The 10,622-nt window shown below is 36.8% G+C and overlaps 1 protein-coding gene across 5 annotated transcripts in view, besides 3 other annotated features; it reads right to left on the reverse strand.

Annotated features, from left to right (window-relative positions):
• EPC1 (enhancer of polycomb 1) overlaps window positions 1-4,089 on the reverse strand; it is a 111,019-nt gene extending 106,930 nt beyond the window's left edge. For all 5 annotated transcript variants that reach the window (NR_168508.1, NR_168506.1, NR_168507.1 and 2 more), the window contains exon 1: window positions 3,811-4,089. Coding sequence is in view for 2 of the 5 variants with exons in the window: in NM_001282391.3 (NP_001269320.1) it covers window positions 3,811-3,813 (3 nt within the window). In the remaining 3 variants the exon portion in view is untranslated. The remainder of the gene's footprint in view (window positions 1-3,810) is intronic.
• Window positions 3,684-4,184: an enhancer, noted in NCBI's record as "H3K27ac hESC enhancer chr10:32667292-32667792 (GRCh37/hg19 assembly coordinates)". NCBI's record gives its function as "activates a minimal SCP1, AML or CMV promoter by ChIP-STARR-seq in primed H9 embryonic stem cells {active_cell/tissue: H9 hESC(primed)}" and the evidence as "EXISTENCE:reporter gene assay evidence [ECO:0000049][PMID:30033119]".
• Window positions 4,185-4,685: an enhancer, noted in NCBI's record as "H3K27ac hESC enhancer chr10:32667793-32668293 (GRCh37/hg19 assembly coordinates)". NCBI's record gives its function as "activates a minimal SCP1, AML or CMV promoter by ChIP-STARR-seq in primed H9 embryonic stem cells {active_cell/tissue: H9 hESC(primed)}" and the evidence as "EXISTENCE:reporter gene assay evidence [ECO:0000049][PMID:30033119]".
• Window positions 5,060-5,161: a silencer, noted in NCBI's record as "fragment chr10:32668668-32668769 (GRCh37/hg19 assembly coordinates)". NCBI's record gives its function as "represses an EF-1alpha promoter that drives an FKBP-Casp9 reporter gene in an ReSE screen in phorbol 12-myristate 13-acetate-treated (for megakaryocytic differentiation) K562 erythroleukemia cells {active_cell/tissue: K562(+PMA)}" and the evidence as "EXISTENCE:reporter gene assay evidence [ECO:0000049][PMID:32094911]".

A 10,622-nucleotide genomic window follows, 5' to 3' on the forward strand; every position in this document is an offset into this window, starting at 1 on the left:
AAATATTATTTGGCCTTCATTTGGGAATCTCACACATCTAAGACCTTAGATTTAAAGTATCTTTAGAACTCTAACCACATTGGAGTGTAGACTCCATTACAGCAGGAATCCTTGCCTCTTTTGCTTAATATTGCATCATAGCATCTTATCAGAATGATACATAATAGATGGGGGAAGATCTAGAATAAACAAACCCCCGAATAAAAATAGAAACAAATGTTGAACAAATCAATTATAAAATCTGCTTTTATCTTTTTCATAAAAATATTTATAAAATTATACATCTGCTTTACTTTCCCTTTAGATTCTCCATTTGATAATCATTTTGGAAAGATCAAAAACAAAGTCATAACACAAACACACATTTTGTGTATCATTTTCCTCTTGTTTTCTTTTGCAAAACCATGCTGAGGAGGACAGTGGTGTATCTGTATCGTCTTATGGAAAGTAGTAACACATCTAGCAAATAACAGAGGTAAATATGCATGAGAAGTGGGTAGAATTGGAAACAGACAATTTCAGGTCTATATTGTGCGTGATTTCACAGGATAGAATTTTATTTTATATTTTCTTCTTTTAAAAAAGTTCATTCCAAGGTAGATTAGATTAGCCCTGGCTAATATTTTTAGCATTTTATGTTTGGTCACCTTAACATCTCTAAATCTTTCTTCCCTTTGTTACCTTACCCTACCATTACCTATCATCTAATGAGTTTGGCTAACCTGAAACTTCCTCAGTCTTTAACAATACTAATGAATGCAAGTTAATAAATTAGGAAATTGTGTTGGTTCATTACATTGTCTTAATATAATTTTCAGTTTATTTGTTATTGATTGAGCTCCTTAATTTCAAGTTCATTTTTCTGAGGTTTATTGTTTCTAATTTGATTTACAGATTCTCCATGTCTTTGGCATTATTTCTTTCTGCTTTCTGCAACCTGTTTTTTGGTAATTTCACTACTCATTAGCCCCTCCCTCCATCAGAGGGATGGGCAGGATGAGAAAAATGATATGACAATATAGTAAATTTTGCTACTTGCTATTATCTGATAAAATGGTGTTCAAGAAAGAAATAAGTGTGTAACTGTTGACTAAAATGACATTTTGGGAATTTTTTAAAATAATTTTTTATTGTCCATGATCTAGCAACTGTTACCATGAAAGACTGAGTTAGTTCTCTATCTGCTAAATTTAATAAATAAAGGTTTTTAATCCAAAAATTTGTTATAATTCTAATCACAATCACACCAAGCTCATGAACTACATTTCTATAAAAATGTTATCAATTAAAAAAAATAATGTTCAAGGAATCAAGAGCTAAAATGAAGCTCAAGGTGGATTTTAAAATGGAGAATAATATAAAATAGTGAACTGTTTTTGCCTCATAGATTTCAACCTCCTTAAATACTTAGTGATGTAAGAGTCATATATAAAATGTTATCAGTCATATAAATATATATGAAGGATTTTTAAAAGTGAAGATTTAACTATAATAGTTACTTCATAATCAATGATGTAATAGTCAATGATGTAGGAGAACAAAGAGCATTGCATAGCTCCATATGGACTTCAGAGCATCAGTTTGTTTTTAAAAGGGGGCTACCTTATATACACATGTTTAGTTTTCAGAGATTAAATAAAATAAAAATTATCGCCATTCTGAATAGCAGACTATTTTAGCAATACATGTGTTGGAAAGTATATTTTATTTGGTAGATCAACTTCAGAGAACTAAACTCTCCAGCATAACCAGAGGGTTAGATAATATATTTACACCTGCAGTATTTCATTCTATAAATAATCTATAATGTCAAAAACTAGCCTTGATGGGGCATTTACATTTTATGAATAGCTAAAATGTTACAGTGAACATTTTCACATTTTTATGGCATAGTATAAACAAAATATGGGCTAATACATAATTATTTTTGAAGTTCAAGGAAAGGGATATATAGATAGAGTATAGAGACACAAAAATCAGAAATACTATTTTTAGCCATTTTCACACATCCTTTTACTTCAACCTGTTAAATGATTAAAAAGTGAAATGAGCATTTACGTATTTCAAAGTGGGTAAACACGCTAAATAATAATTCTTGAAATGTTCACTCTTTCAAAAAATAATCTCTTCAATCTTATGGAAAAGTGGTCTAGTGTACTATTTCAGTTGTTTTTATTTTATGTGACCAAAAAAAATACGCTTTAGGGTTCAATTACTGATTCGTCCCACTTTCTTTTTGAACTAAGGGCACACTTACTATCTCCATAAACAGCTAAAATGTTTACAGAGACCAGTAAAACCTATGTCAGATCGTAACACATTTTTGTTCTTGGGAGGCTTTGGGCCTAAATCCCACATTCTCTAATCAGATAACTCAATAAGAACAAAGATGGAAAAGATATAATCCTGCATTTAGATATGTGAACATCAAAATTTTTAAAGCCAAAAGCAATTGTGCACATATTCTTAAAAAATTATCTTATTCCAAAATATTTGTTATTTTTAAAACAAGACTATCTGTAATTCAGTTGAAGTATCATTTCAAAATGAAACAAACAATAATGTGGGAATTATTATATGACTACTTATTAGAAAAACCTCAGGAGAAACTTAGAATAGTTATTTAAGAAATCCCTAGGTTCAAAATGAAATTCAACTTTTACAATGTTGAAGGAACTAAAACTCAGACATTTGGTTAAATTGAAAATACACTAACACATATAATTTTGTAATATAAGGAAAATGCAAAATGTTACTAAAAGGATAAATCGACAGCTTATTACTGAATAATTCTGATATAGAGATGATAAATCAGATCAGATAAAACAACTGCAAACTGCATGCCTGTCCCTGATGTTCCCTCGGCTGGTTGTGACGACATGTCTGCTCTCACCATAGTTCACAGTTCACAGAAAACATTTAAATAACACAACTGAATACTTCCACTGACTAAAATGAACTTTCTTTAAGAAAATAAAGGGAGAAGAGAATAGATCAAATCTTGCCCCACCTCTTTTTTTTTCTTCCTTTTTTCTTTTAGTGAAACTGACATAAATTGTTGAGGAGCACTACAGCGCCACCAACACAGATCAATGCAAAACAAAAAAGATCTCCCACCGTGTGCAAAAAGAAAAAAAATTAGAAAAATGCCAAAAATTACAAAATGTCTCCCAAATGTACCGTATAGGAGAAAAACAAGATAGACCTGCAAAGATTATCTAATGAAGAGCTTCAAAGAAATAATATCATAGACTACAAGTTGAGATCTGATCAGCAAATAAAAGATCCACTATTTAGTAACAGCCATAACTTAATATAAACCCGGTTATGTCAACCTCCACCTTCATTATACCAAGGGCAGCTTTTCTGTAGTTTGTATCCAAGTAATCTATCAAGAGAACCACAATAGGTCCATTTAAAAAAAAACTATATCCATAGTTTGCCTGCTGATAATTGAGTCCTGGACAAATTAGGTAAGACATAATTTTTATAAAGAGGATATGCACATATTTGGCATTGCCAACATTACTGGCACAAAACAAGTCCATCTTGAAATATCTGAGTTCCTCTGTAGTTCACAGTAATTAAAGTATAATTTATATTATAAACATTTAGCTTTAACAATGAAAAAAAAAACTATTTTTTTTTCTTTTGGTAAAAATTAACCAGGCAAGATTAGGTAGAACGTGCAGAGATCAAAGCTAAAGAAAAATACAAAGATTGGTTTTGTTAGAAGAAACACAATGAAAATCCTTTTTAGCCGGTGGCTCTTTCAAAGACTGACATAAATGGTGAAAATTACAAACTTACCATTAGTGCAGGCAAAGAAGACGGCAGTTCTTGAAAAAAAATTGTAACAATATAGGCTGGATACTTGTGTCCCTAGAAACAACAGCCTCCAGGCAGCATATGGATCTTCCAACATCTTTAAAATGTTTGGTAAATAAAAAGTAATACTTTCTTCCATGATCGGTGGCCGAATGGGGTGGCTTCCCCCAGGATCTGTGGGCTTTTGGGGGAAATCGGAGAAATATCCACAGAAGATTAAAAGCAGAGGAGGCAGCACAGCCAGAAGACTCTGGGGTTAACAACTTTGCGATGGCAAGCAGGCGAGCGCTGATTGGCTGGGAGGGCAGTGTCCCTACAGTCTGCACTATCCCCCGCTGCCCCCGCCTCCTGCAGCTCGGAAAAAAATGCAGTGTGTGTGCCATTTTACACTGGGCTTTTAAAAGCACAGCCACCAAAATGACAAAAGTCTAAGCTCGCTATGAAGTGACACTGCAAGACAATAGCACCCACGGCTGCCTGTGAGCTCGGGGGAATGCCCCTTTTAACATCTGAAGGAACACTCTGGCTTCTTGGATGTGGGGTTTTTTTGTTTGTTTTTTGTTTTTGTTTTTTTTTTTTTAAAACAGCATTATCATGTTTTTCTTGAGCAGATTGTTGATCCTTTTCAACCACTCGATAGATCCTCTGCATGCAAACCTGGCCATGTAAAAACGATGTCCATCAAAATATTTTTTCGATTTGATCTCATGAAGGTACCTAGAGAAGCCAGTCATCCTGGAACAAAATTCATGACTCCTTTAGCTCCGAGATCTTTAATTCCTTGGGAAAAAAAATATAATTTCTTACTCACAGTAACTACGATGTGTGCAAAAAGTAAAATAAAATAATGAATTTAGCGGTTAAATGAAAACAATAGGCATATTCCCTCCCCCTCCCCCGCCCCCCTTAAAAACTGTTTCAAAAACCTTTACTGGCTGACAGAATTCTACCACTCTGCCTTACAAACAAAATGGCTGTGGTACTGAGTTTTTTAGGATCCTCCCACTGTGCCTCCTCCTGGCCTCCAGGAAGTGATAAAAATCCAAAATAAATACAGTACTGAAAGTACACCATTGAGTCTGAATTCGGGGGAAACCTTTGGTAAGAGGGTCTTAGAAATGTGCTGGTCATTATTAGTTTTTTAAAATTGTTTTGAAAAGAACATCAATCACTAGAGATTTACTTGACTGTAATTCGAACTTCCTGCTTTACATATTTATAAGGTCTTTCACCTATCTTGGCAGGCTTTCAAATTAAGTGGGCTGGGAAATTTGATGCTCGGTCTCTAGTTGTGAGCTGAGTCAGGTATTTGGTGGTTGCAACTGGGCTTTTAAATAAAGACAAAATCTAAGACTTTAAAAAAATGAACGTTAAACAGACGCAAGACTATGTTTGCTAATGTAAAGTCAGAAAAGTCGACAAAGATCGTAATGTGTCAAATACTGCATACATGTGTCAACATATTCAGTAAAAATTCTTTGCCCACTAAATTTTCTAACAAGCCAAGAAGAGAACAGGGTTTAAAGGAACTGGATTAAGAAAGGGGTGGGGAATTATCTACATTCTTCACAACCTCTTCCCCTCCCCACACACACCACACACATACACACACATGCACATATACACACACATACACATACATATACACACACACACGCACACACGCACACACACACACACACGTTGGTCTGGTATCCCTGCCTGGCACTTAATAGGTAACATTCTTAGAAAGATATAGCTAGGGTGACTATGAATTTATCATCTAACACAGGATACTTTGAGAGTGAAAAGGGCTAATTATAGGACAGCTGGAATAAACAGAGCCTGTCCATGATAAGCCAGGAGGTAGAACTCACTGTGTTTTTAGTGAGACCTCCTTGAACTTTCACTAGACAGGTTGCCTACCGCCATGGGGCCTGGGCCAATTTAGATAGCATTTGAGCTAGACCCCTCTCTGGGCCGCGTCTCCTGCGTTTGTTCTACTGCCAAGTGAAGTAGACAATCTGAGTGGACTTGGGGTCAGATATATTTAATGAACAGCCATGGTAAAGAAAATACCTAGATATGCACATCCATATGTGTATATACCTTCATATACTTTATTATCTGTAGATTAGGATGTTCTGTGCACTTCGTAAGATACACATACTTCTGATTACATGCTTTCCTATGGGATAATTTTCTTTGGAGTTTTTGAGACCATATTCATGATATACACAATTTGAGGGATTTTTGGTTTTTGTTTTGGGAAAGATAATATGTAGAATGAAATGTTTTGGTGGAGATTATCACAGAAATACATAAGATAAATAATTCTTTTGCTGTTTATTCAAACAGTTCTTAAGAACTTAGAATGTGCCAGGTATGATGCTTGGTGCTATATATATATTAGTGAACAAGTAGATAGTTTATTTCCTCCTTCATGGAGTTCATAATCTAGTGGAGAGACAGATAAATAGCAGGTGAACAAATACAGTTGATCCTTGAAGTATGTGGGGGTTAGGGGTGCCAATCCCCCATGCTGTCAAATATTCTGTGTAACTTTTAACTCTCCCAAAACTGAACTACTAATAACCTACTATTGACCTTACCAATAACATAAACAGTCAATTAACACACATTTTGTGTGTTGTATGTATTCTATATTGAATTTGTACAATAAAGTAAACTAGAGAAAAGAAAATGTTATTAAGAAAGTATAAGGAAGAGAAAATATACTTACTATTCATTAAGCAGAAGTGGATCATCATAAAGGTCTTTATTCCTCATTGTCCTCACATTGAGTATCTGAGGAGGAGAAAGAAGAGGAGGGTTTGGTCTTCCTGTCTCAGGAGTGGCAGGGGCGGCAGAGGTGGAGGAGGTGGAAGGGGAAGCAGGAGAGGCAGGAATACTCTGTGTAACTTTTACTGAAACAAAATCTGTGTATAAGTGGACCTGTACAGCTCAAACCTGTGTTGTTCAAGGGTCAAGTGTATATTATTGCACATTATTCTAAGTGCTATTAAAAAACCAAACAGGGCTGGGCGCAGTGGCTCACGCCTATAATCCCAGCACTTTGGGAGGCCGAGGTGGGTGGATCACTTGAGGTCAGGAGTTTGAGACCAGTCTGGCCAACATGGTGAAACCCTGTCTCTACTAAAAATACAAAAATTAGCTGGGCATGGTGGTAGGTGCCTGTAATCCCAGCTACTCAGGAGGTGAGGCAGGAGAATCACCTGAACCCAGGAAGTGGAAGTTCCAGTAAGCCAAGAGCATACCACTTCACTCCAGCCTGGGCGACAGAGTGAGACTCCGTCTCAAAAAACAAACAGTACAGTGTTAGAGAATAACAGGGAGGGAAATAAATAAACAAGGTGGTAAGGAAGTTGTCTCTAGAGGAGTGGGGCTTAACCTAGGCTTGAAGGATGACAAGGAGACACATTTGAAAAATATCGGAGAAGTCACAGTCTAGGAAGAGGCTACAGCATGTGCGAAGGCCCTGAGGCAGAATGAAGCTTGGCACATTCTAGGAAGGGAAATGAGGCCAGTGTGGTTTCAGCACATCAAGAAGTGCATCAGATGAAATCAGAAATGTAGACTGGAGAGAGATCCTGCAGAGGTTTGTAGGCCACAGAAAGGAATTCCGTGTTTAAGACAGAGAACGTTGAACTTCCAGATTTTAGAGGTTTTGATAATGATAAGGTCCAGAGAAGGTAGAGGGGAAAAAAAACCCCTCAATGCTAATTTTGAATTTACATAGCTACATTACAGGGTTTTGGTATTATATTTTTAAAAATCCATATTTCACTCACATAGTTACAGCCATTGATTATGACTCAGTTCATAAATAAATATGAATAAGACACAAATATCTGAGATCATTCATAGTACAAACAAAATGAAAAGGAGGAATTCAGGCAACAATTTGCCTCAGTTTTCTCTAATGGTGCTGATTTTGATATTTTTGATTAAAAAAATACTACATTTTATATCAGTTGAACAGTGCTCACCTTTTTTTTTTTTTTTTTTTTTTTTAAAACAAATGAGGCCAGGAGCAGTGGCTCACACCTGTAATCCCAGCACTTTGGGAGGCTGAGGTGGGCGGATCACCTGAGGTCAGGATTTTGAGACCAGCCTGGTCAACATGGTGAAACCCCATCTCTACTAAAAATACAAAAATTAGCTGGGTGTGGTGGTGGGCACCTGTAATCCCAGTTACTTAGGAGGCTGAGGTAGGAGAAACACTTGAAACCAGGAAGCAGGGGTTGCAGTGAGCCAAGATTGCACCACTGCACTCCAGCCTGGGTGACAGAATGAGACTCCGTCTCAAAAAAAAAAAAAAAAAAAGAAAAGAAAAAAGAAAAAAAAAGAAAAAAGAAAAAGAAAAACAAAAAACAAAACAAATGAGGCAAAACATTATTAAAGTGAGAATTTAACATGATTGGAATTAAAAAGTTATCCTTTTTCAATTTAGTAACTGGTTGTTAGCAAACCAAAATCCTACAGGCACATGGGCAGAAATAACATGTTCAGTTTCTTAGATCTAAAACTTAAAAAAATTACAAAAGCAGTTAGGTCAAATCAATGATGTATAATCCCTTGAATGAGCTTTGATATTAATAGGAATCTCCAAACAAATCAAATCGTGAACTAATTAGGTAGTGTAGTTTGTAAAATCTTTACCTCACAGAACTGGAGGTGGAGATAGATCTGTTTTGGAATTCAGATTAATTTTCTGAGTTAAAAAAAATAACATCATGCAGCACGCTATAATCAAAGGCCGTAATATTTTTGTGCTAAATATTACAATCACATTAAATGGAGTAAAGACTATAAGAATCCCCACATCAGTTTGGGTCAGCTTTTTTTATTATTATTTTTTAAGACAGAGTCTCACTCTGTCACCCAAGCTGGAGTACAGTGGCACGATCACCACTCACAGTAGGCTCGACCTCCCAGGCTCAGGTGATCCTCTCACCTCAGCCTCCCGAGTAGCTTGGACTACAGGTGTGCCAGCACGCCTTGTTAATTTTTGTATTTTTTGTAAAGATGAGGTTTCCGCCTGTTGCCTGGGCTGGTCTTGAACTCTTGGGCTTAAGCGATCTGCCCACCTTGGCCTCAGAAAGTGCTAGGATTACAGGCGTGAGTCACCGCACCTGGCATCAGGTCAGCTTTTGCCACCTAAGAGGATGCTGCAATTCGCAAAAAAAGCTTTCAGTTTTCAAAAGTTTTGGGAATTCATAACTGTGGATATGAAATTGTGGAGCTATAGATTTTGTGTCATTCAGATAGTTAAAATTTTATTCTTTGTTTAAATCAGAACTCACAATCCTAATGATTAGAAACAGTTACCATTTGGAAATAGTCAGATTTCCATTTGTGGGCCCTAATAAATGAACGCATACAATATTATTAAATTTTGTGCAGCCTTGTGCAAATGCTATAAATTTTACTCTTTATGATTTCCCTATATTTTTCCTCTTAAGAATAGTGAAAAGTTTTACATTTTTTTGCAATCAAATTTTAAAGCAGTACTTCATCAGACTTTTTATTTCCAAATGTTTGAATGTCTTTAGCCAAGATCTTAAGAGTCTTTATTTCAGAACTCATTACCTGTTGTGGCACGATTTTAGATTGCTTTGATCCATTGCAATCTAAAATCATGCAACATGGCATTTTCAAGAAAGGTCATTCACGTGAGTAGTTTGTGGCCGCTGGTGTGGCGGAGACTACTCATTAACTAACCAACATCCCTCCTCCCTTTCTTATTCATAAAATCCCATTTCATTTTGGGTGTGCCACCCAAAACTGTTTTGCATGACACTGTTTTAACCAGTGAGATGTAAGCAGAAGCCATTGGTTGGGCTTCCAAGAAAGCATTTATAGGGGGCTGACTCAGTGGCTGCTGCCTTGTGCTTCTTACCTTTGCCCTTCTTCAGGCTTGGAGGATGGTCACCACACCTGGGTGGAGTCCGGTGTTCCATTGTGTCAACCAAAGGGAGCTCTTTAGTGCTAAGGGTAGCTGAACAGAAAGAAGAAAGCTGGGTTCTGTGGAGCTTTCACACCAGCCACTGAGGTCCTGCCTCTAGACCTGCTTTTTACACGAGAGAAAAAGAAAACAGCTACTTCGTTTAAACCTTTGTTATTTATTTTATTTTATTTTATTCTATTCTATTTTATTTTATTTTTGAGACAGAGTCTCCCTCTATCACCTAGGCTGGAGTGCAATGGTGCGATCTTGGCTCCCTTCAACCTCCACCTCCCTGGTTTAAGTAGTTCTCGTACTTCAGTCTCCCGAGTAGCTGGGATTACAGGTGCACTCCACCAGGCCCAGCTAATTTTTTTCTTGTATTTTTAGTAGAGACAGGGTTTCATCATGTTGGTCAGGCTGGTCTCAAACTCCTGGCCTCAAGTGATCCACCCGCCTTGGCCTCCCAAAGTGCTAGGATTACAGGCATGAGTCACTGCACCCAGCCTATTGATTCAGGGGGCACGTGTCCATGTTTGTTACATGGCCATATTGCATAATAATGGAGATTGGGCTTCTAGTGTACCCATCGCCCAAACAGTGAACATTGTACCCAGTAGGTAGTTTTTCAACCCTCACCCATATCCCAGCCTCCAGTCTTTTGGAGTTCCCAGTGTCTATTATGCCTATCTTTTAAAGTCCATACATATCCATTGTTTAGCTCCACTTGTAAGTGAGAATACGCAGTATTTGATTTTCTGAGTTCGTTCACTTAGGATAATGGCCTCCAGCTCCATCCATGTTGCTGCAAAGGACATGATTTTGTCTTTTTTATGGCTGCATAGTA

Source organism: Homo sapiens, chromosome 10 (genome assembly GCF_000001405.40).
Source record: "Homo sapiens chromosome 10, GRCh38.p14 Primary Assembly".
Lineage (NCBI taxonomy): Eukaryota > Metazoa > Chordata > Mammalia > Primates > Hominidae > Homo > Homo sapiens.